A 24,682-nucleotide genomic window follows, 5' to 3' on the forward strand; every position below is an offset into this window, starting at 1 on the left:
CCTAGGTGGGTCATGACAGTGGCTTGGCTCAGCCTTAACTTTGGTCTGAAATCAGAGCAGGCAAAAAGTTTTTCTGGGACTGGGGAGAGGCCAGGCAGTAGAAGCAGGCACTTCGGAGCCTGTTGGGGCAGGGGGTGCTTCCTGGGTTCTCGAGAGTGGAGGGATACCTGGGTCCACAGCCATGGCTGGGCAGCTGCAGCTGTGCCTGGGTGAGTGGGGCTCACACCCCACCAACTTGGAAAAGAGCAGGGCTCCTGCCTGTTCCCAGCTCCCACTGGCTTCGTGGAGTATGCAGCCCTGGCCACGCCTCCCCCACTGCAGCCAGTGTCTTCACTGTTGCCACTCCAGATGGGCCACCGGAGCCATCAATTCAGTCTGTATTTATGAAGGAAAAGACAAATCTTGTGTTACTTTCCTCTCTTTATAGGTCTCTGTGCCTTGCGGAGAATCCTGAAAAAACAGCCTAACCTCCCTGATGTCAAGGTGGCTGGACTGGTGAAGATTACTCTGAAGGATTTCTTGCAGGCAATGAATGATATCAGACCCAGTGCCATGAGGGAAATAGCAATTGATGTCCCAAATGTAAGTCATTTATGTCCCACACTAGCTACACTGTTTGAATTAAACTCTGAAAAAAATTTAGAGTTCAGGGAGACTGACTTCCTAGGCTAAACTTTAAAAAAATATTTTTCTTAATTGAAAGTTTTATTGAGATAGCTGTAAATTCAGTGCAGTTATACGAAGTAATGTAGGGAGATTCTGTGTATCCTATACCCAGTTTCCTCCAGTGGCAACATTTTGCAAAACTGAAGTACAGGCTGGGTGCAGTGGCTCATGGCTGCAATCCCAGCACTTTGGGAGGCTGAGGTGGGCGGATCACTTGAGCCCAGGAGTTTGAGACCAGCCTGGTTAACATGGTAAAACCCCATCTCTACAAAAAGTACAAATTAGTTGAGTGTGGTGGTGTACACCTGTAGTCCCAGCTACAGCTGAGGTGGGAGGATCATCTGAGCCCTGGGGAATGTTGAGGCTGCAGTGAGCCATGGTTATGCCACTGCACTTCAGCCTGGGTGACAGAGCGAGACCCTGTCTCAAAAACAAAAAACAAAACACCCAAAAAACTATATTACAATACTAAAACCAGGATACCCCTATTGATACAATCCATTGATCTTACTCATATTTTTTCAGTTTTACTTGTGTGTATGTGTTTATTTAGTTTTATACAATTTTATCTCATGAAAAGGTTTGCATATTCATCACAGATACTAAGTAATTCCATCACCACAAAGATCCCTCATGTTGTCTTTTATAATCACACCCACCTCATTCCTCCCCTCATTTCTAAATTTTTATTTCAGAACCTTTATATAAATGGAATCATACTGTATACAACCTTTTGGAATTAGCTTTTTTCACATATGAGTAAGATCTTTTGTCTTTCTGTGTACCTTAACTTATTTCAGTAGGCATAATGTTCCCCAGATTCATCCATGTTATTATAAATGACAGTATTTTCTTCTTTTTATAAGGCCAAATAATATTCCATTATGCCACATTTCTTTGTACCATTATACCACATTTTCTTTCTCTGTTCATCTGTTGAGGGACACTTAGATTGATTCCCTATCTTGGATGTTGTGAATAGTGCTGTAGTGAACATGAGAGTGCAGATATCGCTTTGAGATACTTCATTTCCTTTTGATATGTACCCAGTAGTAGGATTGCTGAATCTTTTGGTAACTTAATATTTTGAGGAACCACCATACCATTTTTCCATAATGTCTGTACCACTTTACATTCCCACCAACAGTGTACAAGGGTTTCTTTTTCTCCATATCCTTGGCAACACTTATCTTTCATCTTTTTGGTAATGGCCTTCCTAACAGATGTGAGGTGATATCTCATTATAGTTTTGATTTGTATTACCCTGATGATTAGTGGTATTGAACATATTTTCATATACCAGTTAGCCATTTGTACGTCTTCTTTTAACAAATGTTACTCAGATCCTTTGCCCATTTTTAATCAGATTGTTTGTTTTTTTTTGCTTTTGAGTTGTTTGAGTTTCTTAATATATATTTTAGTATTTTGGATAGCAGCCCCTTACCTCATATATGGTTCACACATATTTTCTCCCATTCCATAGGTTGTCTCTTTACTCTGTTTCCTTTGCTGTGCAGAACTTTCTGGTTTGATGCAGTCCTGTTTGTCAGTTTTTGTTTTTCTTGCCTCTGCTTTTGGAGTGTATCCAAAAATTCATTGCCCTGGACCCATGCCATAAGGCTTTTCCTTATGTTTTCTTCTAGTAGTTTTACAGTTCTAGATATTATGTTTAAATATTTAATCCATTTTGAACTGATTTTTTGTATGTGGTGTGAGAAGACTGGCCAGTTTCATGTGTGGACATACAGTTTATCATATGGATATCATGTGGATATACAGTTTTCCTGACACCATTTTTTAAAGAGATTGTGCTTTCGTCATTGCGTGTTCTTCGGTACCTTTGCAGATCAATTGACTGTACATGCGTGGATTTATTTCTGGGCTCTCTATTGTTTCATTTATTTATATGTCTGTTTTTATGCCAGTATATTGCTGTCTTGATTATCATAGCTTTGTAGTATATTTTGAAATCAGATAGTGTGATGCCTACAGCTTTTTTTTTTTTTTTTGCTTGAGATTACTTTGACTATATGGTGACTTTTATGTTTCCTTATGAATTTTAGGGTTGCTTTTCATATTTTAGAGAAAAATGCCATTGGAATTTTGGTAGTGGTTACATTAAATCTGTAGACAATTTTGGGTAGTATGAATATTTTAATAGTGTTAATTTTTAAAATTCATGAACATTAGACATTATTCTATGTATTTGTGTCTTCTATTTCATCAGTATTTTATAGTTTTCAGTGTACAGGTCTTTCACCGTCTTGGTTAAGTTTTTTCGGTATATTTAAAAAATACTATTGTAAATGGGATTTTCTTTTTTTAATTTTTTGGATAGTTGTTAGAGTATAGAAATGCTACTGACTTTTGTTGTCGATTTTGTATCCTGCCAATTTACTGAATTCATTTATTGGTTTTAATCTTTTTTTTTTGGTGGAATATTTAGGGTTTCCTTTATATAAGATTATGTCATCTGCAAACAGACAATTTTTTTCTTCTTTTTCAATTCGGATGCTTTTTATTTCTTTTTCTTGCCTAATTTCCCTGGCTATGACTTTCAGTACTATATTAAATAGAAGTTGCGAGAGTGAGCATTTTGTCTTGCTCTTCATCTTAGAGGAAAAGTTTTTAGCTTTTCATTGTTGGGTATGATGTTAGCCGTGAGCTTGTCATACATATAGCGTTATGATGTTGAGATACATTCTGTCTAATGTATTGAGAGTTTTTATCATGAAAGGATGTTGAATTTTGTCAAATGCTTTTTCTGTATCTATTGATATGATTTTATGATTTTTATTCTTCGTCCTTTTAAGGTGGCGTATCATGTTTATTGATTTGCATATGTTGAACCAGCAGCCTTGCATCCTAGGGATGAATCTCATTGGATCATGGTGTATGATCCTTTTAATGTGCTATTGAATTTGGTTTGCAAATATTTTGTTGAGAATATTTCCATCTATGTTCACCAAGGATATTGGCCTGTAATTTTCTATTCTTACAGCATTCTTGTATCACATTAATGCTGGCCTCATAAAGTGAGTTTGGAAGTGTTCCTTCCTCTTCAGTTTATTGGAAGTTTTGTGAATTCTACTAAGAATTTAAAGAAGTGATGCTAATGCTTGAGAAGCATAACTTCTCGGGTCTTGGAGTTTTCTTTGTTAGGGAGCTTTTTGATTATTGGTTTATTCCCCTCACTCATTATTGGCCTGTTCAGATTTTCTTTATGATTCATTTTTGGTAGGTTGTATGTTTCTGGGAATTTCTTTCTTTCTTCTTGGTTGGCCAAATTGTTGCCATGTAATTGTTCATATTAGTCTCTTATGATTGTATTTTTGTGGTATCAATTGTAGTGTCTCCTGTTTCATTTCTCAGTTTATTTACTTTAATCTTCTTCTTTTTTTTTTTTTTTTTTTTTGAGACGGAGTCTCGCTCTGTTACCCAGGCTGGAGTGCAATGGCACCATCTTGGCTCACGGCAACCTCCGCCTCCTGGGTTCAAGTGATTCTCCTGCCTCAACCTCCTGAGTAGCTGGGATTACAGGCACCCGCCACAACGCCCAGCTAATTTTTGTATTTTTAGTAGAGACGGGGTTTCACCATGTTGGTCAGGCTGGTCTCAAACTCCTGACCTCATGATCCGCCCACCTCAGCCTCCCAAAGTGCTAGGATTACAGGTGTGAGCACCGCGCCCAGCCTACTTTAATCTTCTTTCTTTTTTTTATAGTAGTCTAGGCAAAGATTTGTCAATTTTGCTTATCTTTTGAAAAAACAACTAATGTTGATCTTTTTATATTCTTACATTGATCTTTTAAATTATTTTTCTAGTCTCCATTTCATTTATTTCTGCTCTGATCTTTAGTATTTCCTTCCTTCTGCTAACTCTGAACTTATTTTGTTCTTTTTCTATTTCTTTGTTGTGTAAAATTAGGTTGTTCATTTGAGATATTTCTTTTTTCTTAATATAGGTATTTATTGCTATAAACTTTCCTCATAGAACTACTTTTGCTGTATCAAAGTTTTGGTATGTTGTGTTTCTATTTCCATTTGTCTTAAGACTTTTTTTTATTTTTCTTTTGATTTCATCTTTGACCCATTGATTGTTCAGGAGTATGTTGTTTAATTTCCAGATATTTGTGGATTTTCCAATTTTTTTTTCCTGTTATTCTTTTCTGGTTTGTATGATTATGGACAGAAAAGATACGTGATATGATTTTAGTCTTCTTAAACTTTTTAGACTTGTTTTGTGGTCTAAGATATGATCTATCCTTCAGAATGTGTCATGTGCACTTGAAAAGAATATGTATTTGAGAGCCCCATAGATGGTTCACATCACAGGACTCTGTACAGACAACCCCCAGTACCAACCCAGAGCTGGGTAGACTTGCTGGGTGGCTAGACCTAGAAGACAGACAACAATCACTGCAGTTAGGCTCACAGGAAGACACATCCATAGGAAAAGTGGGGAGAGTACTACATCAACGGAATATCCCATGGGACAAAGGGATTCGAACAACAACCTTCAGCCCTAGACCTTCTTCTGACAGAGCCTACCCAATGAGAAAGAGCCAGAAAACCAACCCTGGTAACATGCCAAAACAAGGCTCTTCAACACCCCTCAAAAATCACACTAGGGATGTGTTTCCATTTGTGTCGTGTATTTCTTTCAGTTGTGTTTTGTAGTTTTCCTTGTAGAGGTCTTTCGACTCCTTGGTTAGGTGTATTCCTAAGTATTTTTTTTTGCAGCTATTGTAAAAGGGTTGAGTTATTGATTTGATACTCTGCTTGGTTGCTGTTGGTGTATAGAAAGCTACTGATTTGTATACATTAGTCTTGTATCTGGAAACTTTGCTGAATGCTTTCAACAGTTCTAGGAGCTTTACTCCTAAGGAGGAGTCCTTAGGGTTTTCAAGGTAAATGATCATATCGTCAGCAGTGACAGTTTTTCCTCTTTACTGATTTGGATGCCTTTCATTTCTTTCTATTGTCTGATTGCTCTGGCTAGGACTTCCAATACTATGATGAAGAGGAGTGGTGAGAGTGAGCATCCTTGTCTTGTTCCAGTTCTCAGAGGAATGTTTTCAACTTTTCCCCCATTCAGTATTACATTGGCTGTGGGTTTGTCATAGATGGCTTTTATTACATTAAGGTATGTCCCATGTATACCAGTTTTGCTGACAGTTTTAATCATAAAGGGATGCTGAATTTTGTTGAGTACTTTTTCTGCATCTGTTGAGATGATTGTGTGATTGTGTTTTTAATTCTGTTTATGTGGTGTATCACATTTATTGACTTGCATATGTTAAACCATCCCTGCATCCCTGGTATGAAACCCACTTGATCATGGTGGATTATCTTTTTAGTATGTTGTTGGATTTGGTTAGCTAGTAGTTTTTTAAGTAAGGATTTTAGCTTCAGTGTTCATCAAGGATATTGGTCTGTAGTTTTCTTTTTTTGGTTATATCCTTTTCTGGTTTTGGTAGTAGGGTGATGCTGGCTTCATAAAATGACTTAGGGAGGGTTCCTTCTTTCTCTGTCTTGTGGAGTAGTGTCAAAAGGATTGAAGGATTGGTACCAGTTCTTCTTTGAATGTCTGGTAGAATTCCGCTGTGAATCCATCTAGTCTTGGACTTCTTTTTGTTGGAAAATTTTTTTTTTCTTTTTTTTTTTTTTGAGACGGAGTAGTTTTGCTCTTGTTGACCAGACTGGAGTGCAATGGTGCAATCTCGGCTCATCGCAACCTCTGCCTCTCAGATTCAAGCGATTCTCCTCCCTCAGCCTCCCAAGTAGCTGGGTGGGATTATAAGCATGTGCCATCACGCCTGGCTAATTTCGTATTTTTAGTAGAGATGGGGTTTCTCCATGTTGGTCAGGCTTGTCTCTAACTCTTGACCTCAAGTGATCCACCGGCCTCGGCCTCTGAATGTGCTGGGATTATAGGTGTGAGCCACCGTGCCTGGCTGGTAATTTTTAAATTACCATTTCAATCTCACTGGTTGTTATTGGTCTGTTCAGGGTACTAATTCTTCCTGATTTAAGCTAGGAGGGTTGTATTTTTCCAGGAATTTATTCATCTCTTCTAGGTTTTCTAATTTATGTGCATACAGGTGTTCATAGTAGCCTTGAATGATCTTTTGTATTTCAGTGGTATCAGTTGTAATATCTCCTGTTTTGTTTCTTAGTGAGGTTATTTAGATTTTCTCTCTTCTTTTCTTGGTTAATCTTTCTAATTGTCTATTTTATCTTTTCAAAGAATCAGCTTTTTGTTTCATTTATCTTTTGTATTTTTTTTTTTCAATTTTATTTCTTTCTGCTCTGATCTTGGTAATTTCCTTTCTTCTGCTTGGTTTGGGGTTCGGTTTGTTCTTGTTTCTCTAATTCCTTGAGGTGTGACCTTAGAATGTCAGTTTGTGCTCTTTCAGACCTTCCAATGTAGGTGCTTTGGGCTATGAACTTTCCTCTTAGCACTGCCTTTGCTGTATCCCAGAGGTTTTGATAGACTGTATCATTATTGTCATTCAGTTCGAAGAATTTTTTAATTTTCATCTTGATTTTGTTTTTGACCCAGCGCTCATTCAGGAGCAGGTTATTTAATTTTCATGTATTTGCATGGTTCTGAAGGTTCCTTTTGGAGTCGGTTTCCAATTTTGTCCCATGGTGGTCTGAGAGAGTGCTTGATATAATTTCAATTTTCTTAAATTTATTGAGGCTCGTTTTATGGCCTATCACGTGGTCTGTTTTGGAGAAAGTTCCATGTGCTGTTGAATAGAAGGTGTATTCTGCAATTGTTGGATGAAATGTTCTGTGTATATCAGTTAAGTCCATTTGTTCCAAGGTATAGTTGAAATCCATGGTTTCTTTGTTGACTTTCCGTCTTGATGACCTGTCTAGTGCTGTCAGTGGAGTACTGAAGTCCCGTACTATTATTGTGTTGCTGTCTATCTCATTTCTTAGGTCTCTTAGTAATTGTTTTATACATTTGGGAACTCCAATGTTAGGTGCATATTATTTTAAGTGAAGTAACTCAGGAATGGAAAAACAAACATCATATGTTCTCACTGATATGTGGGAGCTAAGGTATGAGGACACAAAGTCATAAGAATATAATGGACTTCAGGGACTTGGCGGGAAGAATGGGAGGGGGGTGAGGGATAAAAGACTACAAATAAGGTGCAGTGTACACTGCTCGGGTGATGACTGCACCAAAATGTCACAAATCACCACTAAGGAACTTACTCATGTAACCAAATACCACCTGTACCCCCAATAACTTGTGGAAAAATTAAAAATACTAATAATTAAAAAAAGAGAAAATAACGTGTATTCTGCGGCCATTGGTTGTAGTGTTCTGTATATGTCTGTTAGGTCCATTTAGTCTATAGTGCTCTTCAAGTCTGCTGTTTCCTTATTGATTTTCTATCTTGATGATTTGCCATTGTTGAAAGTGGGTTATTGAAGTCTCTTACTGTTCCTGTATAGCTGTATGTTACTCCCTTCGGTTCTTTTAAAATTTTCTTTATGTATTTAGATGCTCCAGTGTTCAGTGCATATATATTTACAATCACTATATCCAGTTAATGAATTGACTCTTATCATTATATAATGACCTTGTCTTTTTTTGACAGTTTTTGACTTAGTCTATTTTGTCTAATATAAGTATAGCCACCCCTGCTCTATTTTGATTGCTATTTGCATGAAAATTGCTATGAAATAGCATGATTGCTATTTATGCAAATAGCAATCAAAATAGAGCTGAAGACTCTATTTTGAAAGTCTTCAGACTCTTTAAGAACACATATAGAATACTTTCACTTCAGCTTTAACAATGCATATAGAATACTTTAAATTAAAATCTTTAAATTAGAGTCTCTTATGGGTAGCATAATTTTGAATCTTGTTGTTTAATCCATTCAGCCACTCTGTCTTTTGACTGGAGAATTTAATGTTCCATTTGAAGTAATTATTGATAGGTAAGGGCTTACTAGAGCTATTTTATTGTTTTCTGTTTTGTAGTACCTTTGTTCCTTTCTTCTTCTCTTGCTGTCTTCCTTTGTGATGTGATTTTTTTTTTTTAGTGATATTCTTTGATTCTTTTCTCTTTATCCTTTGTGTATCTATTACATGATTTTTCTTTGTGATTACTCTGAGGCTTACATAAAACACCTTCTAGTTGAAACAGTCTATTTTAAGCTGTTAATAACTTAACATTGGTCCCACACACAGACTCTACTCTTTAATTTCTCCTGCCCCCATATTTTATGTTACTGATGTCACGTTTTGCATCTTTTATATGTTGTGTATCCCCTAACAAATTATTGTGGCTATTGCTATTTGTAATTTTTTTTTAACTTTTACACTTGTAGCTAAAAATGATTTATGTGCTAGTACTATACTATTACAGTATTCTGGGTTTGTATTCTTACCTTTACAGGGGGTTTTGTACTTTCATATGCTTTCATATTAGTTAGCATCCTTTCATTTTAACTTGATGAACTGGCTCTAGTGGTGCTGAATACCCACATTTTTATTTGGTTATGTCTTTATTGCTCTCTTATTTTTTAAGGCCAGCCTTTTCTGGTATAGTATTCTTTGTTGGCAGTTTTTTTTTTTCCCTTTTTCTTTTAGCACTTTCAATATATCATCTTACTCTCTCCTGGCCCGCAATGGATTGTCTGAGAAATCTGGTCGTAGTCTGATGATGGTTTCCTTATTTGTAATGAGTTGCTTTTTTCTTGCTGCTTTCAAAATTTGTTGACTTTTGAGAATATGATTATAACATATCTTGGTGAAGCTCTCTTTGTTTTAATCTATTTGGAGTTCTTTAGGCTTTATGGATTTAGATTTGAATCCATAAAGCCTAAAGAACTCCAAATACACTAAAACAAATTATATTCATTTCCCTCTCCAGATTTGGGAAATTTTCTGTCATTCTTTCTTTTTTTTTTTTTTTTGAGACAGAATCTCACTCTGTCACCAGGCTGGAGGGTAGTAGTGTGATCTTGGCTCACTGCAACCTCTGACTCCCTGGTTCAAGGGATTCTCCTGCCTCAGCCTCCTGAGTAGCTGGCATTACAGGCACACGCCACCACACCAAGCTAATTTCTGTATTTTTAGTAGAGACGGAGTTTCATATGTGGCCAGGATGGTCTTGATTTCCTGACCTCGTGATCCACCCGCCTCAGCCTCCTAAAGTGCTGGGGTTACAGGCCTGAGCCACCGTGCCCAGCCCATTATTTCTTTAAGTAAATTTTCTGCCCCTTTCTCTGCTTCTTCTGGGTCTGTTGTAATGTGTACACTGGTTCGCTTAATGTTGCGTTCTAAGTCCCTGTTAGGCTTTTTTCACTCTTCATTCTTTTTTCTTTTTGTTTTTGTGACAAGATAATTTCAGAAGATCTGTGTTTGAGTTTGCTGATTCTTCTGTTGTATTGTCTGCTGTTGAAGTTTTCCATTGAATATTTAATTCACTCATTGAATTCTTCAGTTCCAGAATTTCTGTTTGGTTCTTTTTTATACTCTCTATCTCTTTCTTGAATTCTTCATTTTTTTCATGCATTGTTTTCCTGGATTCATGTTATTTGAATTCTCTTGTAGCTAAGATGATTATTTTTTATACTTATCTGGCAGTTTATGTATCATCAGTCGTTTAGTGTCTGCTACTGGTGCTTAATTTTGTTCCTTTGGTGTCCTGTTTCTCTAATTATTAGTGATTTTTGTGGACTTGTGTTATTGTCTGTGCATGTGAAAAAGTAAACAACACTTCTTGTCTTTACAGATTGGTTTCTGTAGGGAAAGCCCTTCACTAGTCAGCTTGTCTAGTAGTTCTTGGTAGGCTGTCTTGCTGCTGGAGTCCTTGGGTATCTTGGTTTGTTGTCTGGGTCAGCAGGTGGATGGTCTTGGTGTCTAGGTCCAAGGAGGGCAGTCTTAGTGCTGGGATGGGGCTGGAGCCTGAGGCCACAGGGACAGTTCTGGAGCCTCTGTCCACTGGGGCTGACCTGGAGCCTGTGTCTATGGGGGTGATCCTGAAGGCTGAGTTCATGGATGCCACCTGGCACTGAGGTGGGCCTTGAATTCAGGACCATAGTGGTGGGTCTAGAGCCTGAGACCAGCCTGGGTCTACAGTGGCTGGTTCGGAATTTGGGGCTGCAGGTCCAAGCCTGGCTCTTGTGTAGGCCTAGAGCCTAAGTCTGCAGGGATCCATCCTGGGCTGTGGGGGCTGACCTTGGGCTGGGATAGGGCAAGTACTGGAATCTGTGGGGAGAGCTGGATGCTTATGTCATCCTTCTTCCATGTGGACAGTATTTCTCTCCACATTGTGCTGCCAGAGGTTGGGGGTGGGATGAAGCATTTAGTGAGAAACTTTACTTCCTAGATTCTTCAATGCATGTTTTCTTATTTATTTATTATTTTTTGAGACGAAATCTCTCTTTGTTGCCCAGGCTAGAGTGCAGTGGTGCGACACGGCTCACTGCAGCTTCAGTCTCCTGAGTTTAGTTGATCCTCCCACCTCAGTCACCTGAATAGCTAGGACTACAGGTGTACGCCACCACACCCAGCTAATTTTTTGTTTTACTTTATTTTTTGTAGACATGGGTTTTCTCTGTGTTGCCCAGAGTAGTCATGAATTCCTAGGCTCAAGCAGTCTTCTCACCTGGGCATCCCAAATTGCCGGGATTACAGATGTGAGCTACTGTGCCTGGCCTGTTTCCTTATTTTTGTTCTCCACCCAGGTACTCTAATATCTCACTTGGATTCCTTAGCTGTTGTGAAGGTATTTTCAAGTGTGGGCAATTGTTCAAGCTGATATTTCTGTGAGGAAAGAGCAGTAGAAAACTCCTATTCTGCCACCTTTCCATCATCAGTTTCATCACAGTTGTACTCTTTCTTGCAAAAACTCTACCATTAGAATTATTTGAAAACTTAGAGCCTTGTTAGAGAGTCTGGCCTAGTTGTATCCTTTACCTCACTGTGTATAGGCGTTTCAGTATCCATAGTTCTCTTGGTCATTAACTAATGTTTTTAAATTGTTAGCTAAAAATAAAACAAAAAACAAAACAAAGGAAACTAAAATGATATTAGATAAATGAAGTAGACAATGTGGAATGATAAGGATTTGTTTTCAATTTTTTTTTTTTAAAGAGGCAGGAGCTCTCTCTGTCTTCCATGCTGGAGTGCAATGGTGCAGTCCTAGCTCACTTCACTGTAGCGTCAAATTTCTCTGCTCAAACGATCCTCCTGACTCAGCCTTCTGAGCAGTTGGAATAGCAGGCACATGCCATTGCACCTTATTAAATTTTTTATTTTTTGTAGAGACGAGGTCTTGCTTTGTTGCGCAGACTGGTCTGGAACTCGTGGCTTCAAATGATCCTCCTGCCTCAGCCTCCCAAAGTGCTAAAATTGCCGGCGCAAGCCACCATGCTGGACCTGTTTTCCCTTTTAAAAGTGACTATATTCCTCGAACAATGTGTTTTGTGGTCATATAAGTTTTGGGATTGTTGGTTTAAATAAAACCAATAGTTTCTTTTCTGCTGGACTCCTCAGAGTCTTTTAATATGCAAATATTTATCATTATGAAGTGATCAAAAGGATTTCTTATGGAAACTTAGTTGCCATGGCTTGGGGAGCAGCGACTTTTTGTATTTTGCAATGTGAATGCAATAAATGACCACAAGTTCTTTCCATCACTGTGTGTTTGCCCTTTTGTGTGCAGTTTTGTACTCCTATGATAAAAGAAATGGAATCAGTTTTTGCAGGCTTTAAGTCTGTGCCTGGCCCTGTTACTTTCTTTGGCCAGTGTGATGTCAGCAATCATGATGCACACAGGCTTGAAAGTGCTTGAGGCTTGCCTTCCCTTGCTGCTCTTTTAAATCCTACCTTATCTATATTAAGAAATATTTACTAGCTTCCTGGAGGATGAGAGACCCTGTGGAACAGAATGAGCCCCCTTAGCTGAGAATCCTTCTACCCAGCTGTCCTGCCAATTACCAGACATGTGACATCATGCTGGACTATCCTGTCCCAATTGAAGTTTGTCCACACCCAGTTAACTCTCAGAACTGTCAGAAATAATATATGTCTGTTGTTTTAAGTCGCTAATTTTTGGGGTAATTAACTATCAAAAGCTAAAGGATGCATATACTTGTTAACTTTTTATATAATGCAGTTGTTTTGTAAATTTAGGCTGAGAAACAGTGCTCTATGGGTAGGAATATTCTCTAAGGACTTATTGGTAGCTTAGGTTACTTAGTGTGGTTTTGAATTCTTTTTGAGACATTTTCAAATTTACTATTGAATTTTAACTTAATTTCCAAAAATTTCTATAGCAGAACATGCTCATTTAATGTAAATAATTTGACAAATGGAATTATGTAATAATGGATGATTGATGTTGGGCTAGTAGAAACTTTCTCTAGAATCGATGTTATAAAACCTTGGCTGATTATTATGAGTTTTTTTTTATCTGCAATATTTATCTGTATTTTATTGCATACTGTTGCATAAAATAATGGGTCAGGTAGATGCCCAGTCATCAAATGCCACATGTCAGAATTTCAGGTGATAGTTACAAACTACATCAATCAAAAACACTTTCTAGTTTAAAACAATTTGGAACTACAGAACATACAGTAACATTTTGAATTTAAAATTACTGCCAGTGGGGAATGTGTTTAAACAGCATCCACTCTTGGAATTGCTAAACTGATTTATTCATCATAGGAACTGGTACTACAACTGCATATTTAATTGCTCTAATGAAAGATTTTTTTTCTTTATTTTCCTGTAATACAGTATTTACAATCCATGGACTTGTGCCATTTTCCATTTGGCACTTTATTATTTGGCCTAAGGCCATGGTGTGCTGTGATGTTACTCATGAGCTCTGGAGTGATTAACACTGGTGAAAGTACTTTCTTATACTGCATTTTATGCTTGCTTCAGATAATAAAAATTTTCCTGAGAAGTCAACATTTCTGTAATTAGATTCCTAAAAATTCAGTTTCCTGATTTCTGGCAATTACATCTACAAAAATTTCTCCAGATTATTTCTGCAGATGGTTAATACTTATTTTGGTATAGAAAACCTGTTTCAAATGGCTAGTTAATTATCAACATTTAAAAAATAGTATAGTGGGCATTTAGCATGTTTTCAGAAAAGATTTTAGTGCATAAAGTTAAAATTTCCAAATCACACTTGCCTAGTTATATTTAAGTTTGCAAGAAAGGTGCTAGGATGGAAATATTGCCAGTGAAAATATAAATGTTAATACATTACTAATTTTAGGAGACCACAAGTGTTAGCCACTTACTTAAATGTAATGTTTCCTTCTTTTGGAGCTTCTGAATGGTGATTACAGTGACATTAAGGTCAAATGCGTTTTCTTTACAGCATGAATCCTTACAATCTAGGAATATGCTAATATTCATTGTGAAATTCCAATTTTCTTATCCAGAGATAACAGCTGTTAACATTTTGTTATAGTTCCTGTAAGATTTGTGTGTGTGTGTGTGTGTATGTGTGTGTGTGTGTGTATGTATATTAGAGATGGAGTCTCACTCTGTCGCCTATGCTGGAGTGCAGCAGCACGATCTCAGCTTACTGCAGCCTTCACCTACCAGGTTCAAGTGATTCTCCTGCCTCAGCCTCCCAAGTAGCTTAGAGTACAGGCACGTGCCACCATGCCTGGCTGATTTTTGTGCTTTTTTTTTTTAGTAGAGATGAGGTTTTACCATGTTGGCCAGGCTGGTCTCGAACTCCTGACCTCAGGTGATCTACTCTCTTCAGTCTCCTGGAGTACTGGGATTACGGGTGTGAACCACAGCACCTAGCCGTCTTTGTATATTTTAATGTAGTTAATCTTAAGATATATGTAGTTTTATATTCTGCTTTTTTCACTTAAAATTATGTAGTAAACATTTTACATTAGAATTTGTTGGCAAAACTTTTTAAATGACTACACCAAAGACTTTTATATGGATAAACTGTAATTGGTTGATCCTTCTTTAGTCTCAAATATTTAGGCTTTTGTCTATTTTTCCATACCATTGTTATAAAGATATTTGTGTGTAAATCTTTGCATTTATGATTTTTAGAAATAAAAGTATAAGACTAAAATGTATTATTTTTAAAGCTTGTGACAAATATCAAGCTTTTGTTTTCAGAAAGGTTATTCTAATTTATGATATATGACAAAAATTTAAAATTATAACAACCTTAAGCAGGAACTCAATTTTCACTTTGGTTATTTTCTTTTTACTTTTCACTAGAGTTTATTTTTTTAACTTTTGGAAAGATCTTTATTGTCAGAAATTGATATTGAATAATCTTTAGATAAATACAGATTTTAAAAAGAAAATGAAAAATAATTATTAATTATATATCTTCTCCTTTCTATAAAAGTGTTAAATTTTTAGATAAAAGGGTATAGCTGGGCCATTACTTTTAATGGATTTTACAGTACATGACAGCAGGTTCTTACCTTTTATTTATATCCTTAGTACTTAGCATATGAATAGCACATAGTAGATACCCAATCAATATTTGTTGAGTGAGTGAATGAATAACTGTAATTTTCATGAATAAACCCCATATTAAATGATAAATTTCAGATATATGTGAAAATGAATTTCTCATCTTTCTTCTTTACCAAAGTACAATAGTCTATTATTAACCTCATGAAGCACCTTTAGATTTTCCATATTTTATAAAGCAGCTGATTTCTTCTATGATTTTTAATCCATGTTCAGTGAATTTAACATTTTTAGAATAAAAATGCCTATAATAGTACTGTGCTATCTACTCTGGAAAGATATAAAGAAGTCCTTTATGTTTTCTGCAGAAACATTTTGCTGCTTTTATCTACTATTAAAAATTCTTATTTTAGTAAGGTAAACAAAAAATAGTGCTTTTAATATTTGTATTCATATATTATCGTTGTGATAAGTTTCTCTATGTACACCATAACAATTTTCAGTGATAAGTGGCATTCTTAACCAAATATATACAAATGGAGTATCATCAAGTTTAATTCTTTTATGCATCTAAACCTGCCTCTCCTCACCTCCATGCTTTCTCTGTTTCATTTTATGTAGCATTTTAGGTTGTTCCTTATTATTTGGAAGTAATTCATCTTTATACTTTTTGATCTTGCCTTTGGATTCTAGTTTTCAGAATTTGGACATTTGGTTCACAATGAGCTAATGTATAAACCATTAGAGAGGTAGTACTCCATTTTCTTGTGAACGCAGTTTTGTAAAGTGAACTGCAGCCAGAGCCTCAGGACTAATTGTATAACCCAAACCCCTTAGTAAACTCCGATCCAGGTTAAACTTAGAGGTCGTTGGCTATCAAATTGAGTGTATACCACATATCATTAGTTAAATAAACATTTATTTACTCCCATTTTAAAATGTAGCAGTTTTCTTAATTATATGAATAATCAACTGTCTCTTTCACTAATTATATATTTAAAATTTACTACTATATTTTCACCTGGCACCTTTTCAGATGAGCCTAGAACATCAGAATGTGACAGTCAGTTGAGTTTCATAGGATGAGCTCATTAGCAGTACATTTCTGGTGCAAAGGTTTGAGTGAAGTAGTTTAATTGACTATAATTATATTTCATTCTTCATATCCCCTTAGGATAATTAGAAGAAATTCATTTTAGTTTTTATTCTTTAAATACAGTACTGCATTTTATATTTTATTTTTTTACAGGCTCAAAGATTGAGGGTTTCTATGATGCTTTATTAAATAAAAGATTGCTTTTTTTGGAATAAATAGTATAACCTGTGGAAATGCTATTAATTCCATATTGGTTCTTGGCAGGGCTTTTAAATTTGGTTTCTTTTGATTTGCTTCTTGTTGTCTAGACAGAAAAGTGTCTTCTATCACTCCCAAGATCCCAGTCTTTCTTGCCAGCTTCTCTTGTGCATTTTTATAGTTTTAAGTAATAGCAATTGAACAGGAAAGCACATTTGGGAAAGTAGATTACTTTTTACCAGGAAATAGTGCCAGAATCAAGATTGTAGTTTTAATCTCCTTAAATATTTCAGAAGGTTAACTCTTTCATTTCACTTTTCTTTTTATACCTTACTTTTGTTGGGCTTTTATAAAGGAGGAAAAATGGGAGAGATAGCAAAAGTTACTGGAAGGATCATCAATTTCTATCCTCAGCTCTGATCCTGATTAACTTTTGGTGAAATCAAATAGCCTTCCTCTCAGACTCTAAATGGAAAATTTAATTTGCAATTTCTGATGGTTATCTTGTTCTGTATTTAGAAATAATGTTGAAGTTGTGATAGAGGCATTATGCTACGCTTCTTTGTATATTTGATCAGTGCTCTTTAAATACTTCATGAGTGTTTGCTACAGTTACATATTTTCAGACAGAGTAAAGGAGATAATAATTCGCATAAAGACTAGTACCCACTAGTAGGGTTAACGTGGTTCTTTTGTGGTACCACACTTCATCACTTTACTATATACAGATATGAAGTAATTGTATACTCATTTATCTCGCCCTTTAGTTCATTGGTCCCATTACTTCATAGTGTGATCTTTCCAAAAGAAATTACTAATATAGCTTAAAATCTATCAGCCTAACTGCCTATTGATCATCTCTAGTATGAAATCTGTGCTCATTAGCCTCCTTTTCCACTTGCATCTCACTTTATGCTCTAGTCTTGTTGAACCACTTCATATTTTTGCACATGCTGTCCTCCCATCTGCCTGAAAAGTTATTTTATGACCTCTCAGTTACCAAAGATCCTGTAATGTGTACACCTCATGCCTTCCATACACATGGACTCCAAATACACATATATGCTTTGTGGACATAATTGTGTCTTGTGTACCTTTGTATCCCTAGTGCTTGGCAAATAAAAACAACTAACTTAATTTTAGTTGAATGGCTGAGTGGATATTTTGTGAAGCAGTTTATGGTAGTTCCTATTTTTTCAGAAATAGTTCTTTTGCCTTTACATATGTATTAGTCAAGATTCTCAAGAGAAACAACCAATGGGATGGATGGATGGATAGATGGGTGGATGGATGGATGGGTAGGTAGGTAAAGAGGTAGCTAGGTAGATAGCTAGGTAGGTAGGCAGATAGATAGATAGATAGATAGATAGATAGATAGATAGATAGATAGATAGATAGGAGAGGAGATTTATTAGGGGAATTGGCTCACACAATTATGGACGCTGAGAAGTCCCTCATAGGCTGCCTGCAAGCTGGAGATGTAGGGAAGCCTGTAGAAGGTAGTGTGACTCAGTCCAAGTCCCAGGGTCTCATAATCAAGGAAGCCAGTGGTGTAATTCTCAGTGAGACTGAAGGCCTGAGAACCCAGGGGGCTGCTGGTATAAGTCCCAGAGTCCAAAGGCTGGAGAACGTAGAGTCCCAATATCCAAGGACAGGTAAAGAAGGGTATTCTAGTTCCAGGAAAAAGAGCAAATTTTGCCTTTTTACTGCCTTTTAATTTTGTCTGGACTCTTAGCTGATTGGATGGTGCCTGCCCACATTGAGGGCTGATCTTTCCTAATGAGTCCATTGACTCACACCATTCTCTGGAAACATCCTCACAGATACACCCAGAAATAATGCTTTACTAGCTATTACATATCCCTTTATTCAGTCAAGTTGACACCTAAAATTAGCCATCACACCAAATGTTTTTGTTGGGTAACAGCTTTATTTAGATGTAATTCACATACCAAACAATTTATTCATTTAAAGGGTACAATTCCATGGTCTTTAGTATATCTATGGAATCAAGTAACCATCTCCACAGTCAATTTTTAAAGATTTTCACCACCTAAAAAGAAACCCTGTGCCCTGTACTTACTACCTCCCAACCTGCCCATCTCACTTAGATAATCACTTTGATTTGCCTGTTCTGTACATTTTCTATAAATGGAATCATAAAATATGTGGCTCTTTGTGACTGGATTATTTTATTTAGCATAGGTTTTCCAGGTTCATGCATGTTGCAGCATGTATCAGTATTTAATTTTTTTTAACTGCCAGATCATATTCCATTGTGTTGATATAGCCCATTTGATTTATCAGTTCATCAGTTGATGGACAATTGGGTTGTTTCTACTTTTTGGCTATTATGATAATCCTGCTGTGAACATTCATGTACAAGTTTTCGTGTGAATACTTGCTTTTAATTCTTTAAGGTACATATCTGGAAGTGGAATTGCTGAGTCATATGGTAACTTTGTGTTTTAACCTTTTGAGGGTCTTCTAGATATTTTCCAAAGTATCTGTACCATTTTACATTCTTACCAGTAATATATACAGAGTTCCCATTTTTTCCACTTCTTTGCTAACACTTGTTATTATTTATCTTTTTGATTATAGCTATCCTAGTGGGTGTAAAGTATTATCTCATTGTGGTTTTGACTTTCATTTCCTAAATGACTAATGATGTTGAGCATCTTTTCATTTGCTTATTGACCATTTCTATTGCATCTGCTTTAGGGAAATGTCTAGTCAGATCCTTTCCCATTCTTAATTCGGTGATTTGTCTTTGTATTATTGAGTTGTGACAGTTCTTTATGTATTCTAGATATGATTCCTTTATCAGATATGTTATTTGCACATTTATTTTTCCAGTTAGTTGTCTCTTTCACTTTCTTGATAGGGTCCTTTGAAGCACAAAAGTTTAAAAAAAATTTTTGATTAAGTCCAGTATCTTTTTGTTGTTGTTGTTGAATGTACCTTTGGTGTCACATTTGAAGAACTGTTGTCAAATCCAAGGGCTTTAAGGTTTACTCTGTTTTTTCTTCTAAGAGTTTTATAATTTTAACTCTTACATTTAGATCTTTGATTCATTTTTTTAAATTTTATTATTATTATACTTTAAGTTTTAGGATACATGTGCACAATGTGCAGGTTAGTTAAATATGTATACATGTGCCATGCTGGTGTGCTGCACCCATTAACTCGTCATTTAGCATTAGGTATATCTCCTAATGCTATCCCTCCCCACTCCCCCCACCCCACAACAGTCCCCAGAGTGTGATGTTCCCCTTCCTGTGTCCATGTGTTCTCATTATTCAATTCCCACCTATGAGTGAGAACATGCGGTGTTTGGTTTTTTCTCCTTGTGATAGTTTACTGAGAATGATGATTTCCAGTTTCATCCATGTCCTTAAAAAGGACATGAACTCATCATTTTTTATGGCTGCATAGTATTCCATGGTGTATATGTGCCATATTTTCTTAATCCTGTCTATCATTGTTGGACATTTGGGTTGGTTCCAAGTCTTTGCTATTGTGAATAGTGCCGCAATAAACATATGTGTGCATGTGTCTTTATAGCAGCATGATTTATAGTCCTTTGGGTGTATACCCAGTAATGGGATGGTTGGGTCAAATGGTATTTCTAGTTCTAGATCCCTGAGGAATTGCCACACTGACTTCCACAATGGTTGAACTGGTTTATAGTCCCACCAACAGTGTAAAAGTGTTCCTATTTCTCCACATCCTCTCCAGCACCTGTTGTTTCCTGACTTTTTAATGATCGCCATTCTAACTGGTGTGAGATGGTATCTCATTGTGGTTTTGATTTGCATTTCTCTGATGGCCAGTGATGGTGAGCATTTTTTCATGTGTCTTTTGGCTGCATAAATGTCTTCTTTTGAGAAGTGTCTGTTCATATCCTTTGCCCACTTGTTGATGGGGTTGTTTTTTTCTTGTAAATTTGTTTGAGTTCATTGTAGATTCTGGATATTAGCCCTTTGTCAGATGAGTAGGTTGTGAAAATTTTCTCCCATTTTGTAGGTTGCCTGCTCACTCTGCTGGTAATTTCTTTTGCTGTGCAGAAGTTCTTTGGTTTAATTAGATCCCATTTGTCAATTTTGGCTTTTGTTGCCATTGCTTTTGGTGTTTTAGACATGAAGTCCTTGCCCATGCCTATGTCCTGCATGGTAATACCTAGGTTTTCTTCTAGGGTTTTTATGGTTTTAGGTATAGCGTTTAAGTCTTTAATCCATCTTGAATTAATTTTTGTATAAGGTGTAAGGAAGGGATCCAGTTTCAGCTTTCTACATATGGCTAGCCAGTTTTTCCAGCACCATTTATTAAATAGGGAATCCTTTCCCCATTGCTTGTTTTTCTCAGGTTTGTCAAAGATCAGATAGTTGTAGATAGGTGGCATTATTTCTGAGGGCTCTGTTCTGTTCCATTGATCTATATCTCTGTTTTGGTACCAGCACCATGCTGTTTGGTTACTGTAGCCTTGTAGTATTGTTTGAAGTCAGGTAGCATGATGCCTCCAGCTTTGTTCTTTTGGCTTAGGATTGACTTGGCGATGCGGGCTCTTTTTTGGTTCCATATGAACTTTAAAGTAGTTTTCTCCAATTCTGTGAAGAAAGTCATTGGTAGCTTGATGGGGATGGCATTGAATCTATAAATTACCTTGGGCAGTATGGCCATTTTCACGATATTGATTCTTCCTACCCATGAGCATGGAATGTTCTTCCATTTCTTTGTATCTTTATTTCCTTGAGCAGTGGTTTGTAGTTCTCCTTGAAGAGGTCCTTCACGTCCCTTGTAAGTTGGATTCCTAGGTATTTTATTCTCTTTGAAGCAATTGTGAATGGGAGTTCACTCATGATTTGGCTCTCTGTTTGTCTGTTATTGGTGTATAAGAATGCTTGTGATTTTTGTACATTGATTTTGTATCCTGGGACTTTGCTGAAGTTGCTTATCAGCTTAAGGAAGTTTTGGGCTGAGACAGTGGGGTTTTCTAGATATACAATCATGTTGTCTGCATACAGGGACAATTTGACTTCCTCTTTTCCTAACTGAATACCCTTTATTTCCTTCTCCTGCCTAATTGCCCTGGGCAGAACTTCCAACACTATGTTGAATAGGAGTGGTGAGAGAGGGCATCCCTGTCTTGTGCCAGTTTTCAAAGGGAATGCTTCCAGTTTTTGTCCATTCAGTATGATACTGGCTGTGGGTTTGTCATAGATAGCTCTTATTATTTTGAGATACGTCCCATCAATACCTAATTTATTGAGAGTTTTTAGCATGAAGGTTGCTGAATTTTGTCAAAGGCCTTTTCTGCATCTATTGAGATAATCATGTGGTTTTTGTCTTTGGTTCTGTTTATATGCTGGATTACATTTATTGATTTGCATATATTGAACCAGCCTTGCATGCCAGGGATGAAGCCCACTTGATCATGGTGGATAAGCTTTTTGATGTGCTGCTGGATTCGGTTTGCCAGTATTTTATTGAGGATTTTTGCATCAATGTTCATCAAGGAGATTGGTCTAAAATTCTCTTTTTTGGTTGTGTCTCTGCCAGGCTTTGGTATCAGGATGATGCTGGCCTCATAAAATGAGTTAGGGAGGATTCCCTCTTTTTCTATTGATTGGAATAGTTTCAGAAGGAATGGTACCAGTTCCTCCTTGTACCTCTGGTAGAATTCGGCTGTGAATCCATCTGGTCCTGGACTCTTTTTGGTTGGTAAGCTATTGATTATTGCCACAATTTCAGATCCTGTTATTGGTCTATTCAGAGATTCAACTTCTTCCTGGTTTAGTCTTGGGAGGGTGTATGTGTCGAGGAATTTATCCATTTCTTCTAGATTTTCTAGTTTATTTGCGTAGAGGTGTTTGTAGTATTCTCTGATGGTAGTTTGTATTTCTGTGGGATCGGTGCTGATATCCCCTTTATCATTTTTTATTGCGTTTATTTGATTCTTCTCTCTTTTTTTCTTTATTAGTCTTGCTAGCGGTGTATCAATTTTGTTCATCCTTCCAAAAACCAGCTCCTGGATTCATTAATGTTTTGAAGGGTTTTTTGTGTGTCTATTTCCTTCAGTTCTGCTCTGATCTTAGTTATTTCTTGCCTTCTGCTAGCTTTTGAATGTGTTTGCTGTTGCTTTTCTAGTTCTTCTAATTGTGATGTTAGGGTGTCAATTTTGGATCTTTCCTGCTTTCTCTTGTGGGCATTTAGTGCTATAAATTTCCCTCTACACACTGCTTTGAATGTGTCCCAGAGATTCTGGTATGTTGTGTCTTTGTTCTCGTTGGTTTCAAAGAACATCTTTATTTCTGCCTTCATTTCGTTATGTACCCAGTAGTCATTCAGGAGCAGGTTGTTCAGTTTCCATGTAGTTGAGCAGTTTTGAGTGAGTTTCTTAATCCTGAGTTGTAGTTTGATTGCACTGTGGTCTGAGAGACAGTTTGTTATAATTTCTGTTCTTTTACATTTGCTGAGGAGAGCTTTACTTCCAACTATGTGGTCAATTTTGGAATAGGTATGGTGTGGTGCTGAGAAGAATGTATATTCTGTTGATTTGGGGTGGAGAGTTCTGTAGATGTCTATTAGGTCTGCTTGGTGCAGAGCTGAGTTCAATTCCTGGGTATCCTTGTTAACTTTCTGTCTTGTTGATCTGTCTAATGTTGACAGTGGGGTGTTAAAGTCTCCCATTATTACTGTGTGGGTGTCTAAGTCTCTTTGTAGGTCACTCAGGACTTGCTTTATGAATCTGGGTGCTCTTGTAATGGGTTCATATATATTTAGGATAGTTAGCTCTTCTTGTTGAATTGATCCCTTTACCATTATGTAATGGCCTTCTTTGTCTCTTTTGATCTTTGTTGGTTTAAAGTCTGTTTTATCAGAGACTAGGATTGCAAGCCCTGCCTTTTTTTGTTTTCCATTTGCTTGGTAGATCTTCCTCCATCCTTTTATTTTGAGCCTGTGTGTGTCTCTGCATGTGAGATGGGTTTCCTGAATACAGCACACTGATGGGTCTTGACTCTTTATCCAATTTGCCAGTCTGTGTCTTTTAATTGGAGCATTTAGTCCATTTACATTTAAAGTTAATATCGTTATGTGTGAATTTGATCCTGTCATTATGATGTTAGCTGGTTATTTTGCTCATTAGTTGATGCAGTTTCTTCCTAGTCTCAATGGTCTTTACATTTTGGCATGATTTTGCAGCGGCTGGTACCGGTTGTGCCTTTCCATGTTTAGTGCTTCCTTCAGGAGCTCTTTTAGGGCAGGCCTGGTGGTGACAAAATCTCTCAGCATTTGCTTGTCTGTAAAGTGTTTTATTTCTCCTTCACTTATGAAGCTTAGTTTGGCTGGATATGAAATTCTGGGTTGAAAATTCTTTTCTTTAAGAATGTTGAATATTGGCCTCCACTCTCTTCTGGCTTGTAGAGTTTCTGCCGAGAGATCCGCTGTTAGTCTGATGGGCTTCCCTTTGTGGGTAACCTGACCTTTCTCTCTGGCTGCCCTTAACATTTTTTCCTTCATTTTAACTTTGGTGAATCTGACAATTATGTGTCTTGGAGTTGCTCTTCTCGAGGAGTATCTTTGTTTTGTTGTCTGTATTTCCTGAATCTGAATGTTGGCCTGCCTTGCTGGATTGGGGAAGTTCTCCTGGATAATATCCTGCAGAGTGTTTTCCAACTTGGTTTCATTCTCCCCATCACTTTCAGGTACACCAATCAGATGCAGATTTGGTCTTTTCACATAGTCCCATATTTCTTGGAGGCTTTGTTCATTTCTTTTTATTCTTTTTTCTCTAAACTTCCCTTCTTGCTTCATTTCATTCATCTCATCTTCCATCACTGATACCCTTTCTTCCAGTTGATCGCATCGGCTCCTGAGGCTTCTGCATTCTTCACGTAGTTCTCGAGCCTTGGCTTTCAGCTTCATCAGCTCCTTTAAGCACTTCTCTATATTGGTTATTCTAGTTATACATTCGTCTAAAGTTTTTTCAAAGTTTTCAACTTCTTTGCCTTTGGTTTGAATTTCCTCCTGTAGCTCGGAGTAGTTTGATCATTTGAAGCCTTCTTCTCTCAACTCGTCAAAGTCATTCTCCGTCCAGCTTTGTTCTGTTGCTGGTGAGGAGCTGCGTTCCTTTGGAGGAGGAGAGGCGCTCTGCTTTTTAGAGTTTCCAGTTTTTCTGCTCTGTTTTTTCCCCATCTTTGTGGTTTTATGTTTGTTTGGTCTTTGATGATGGTGATGTACAGGTGGGTTTTTGGTG

At 37.0% G+C, this 24,682-nt stretch overlaps 1 protein-coding gene across 19 annotated transcripts in view; it reads left to right on the plus strand.

Annotated features, from left to right (window-relative positions):
- Positions 1-24,682, plus strand: part of AFG2A (AAA ATPase AFG2A) — a 396,356-nt gene that overhangs the window by 55,727 nt on the left and 315,947 nt on the right. For all 19 annotated transcript variants that reach the window (XR_007096375.1, XR_007096376.1, XR_007096377.1 and 16 more), the window contains one exon: positions 428-582. Coding sequence is in view for 16 of the 19 variants with exons in the window: in NM_001438322.1 (NP_001425251.1) it covers positions 428-582 (155 nt within the window). In the remaining 3 variants the exon portion in view is untranslated. The remainder of the gene's footprint in view (positions 1-427; positions 583-24,682) is intronic.

The sequence above is a fragment of the Homo sapiens genome, chromosome 4, assembly GCF_000001405.40.
Source record: "Homo sapiens chromosome 4, GRCh38.p14 Primary Assembly".
NCBI classification, from domain to species: Eukaryota; Metazoa; Chordata; class Mammalia; order Primates; family Hominidae; genus Homo; species Homo sapiens.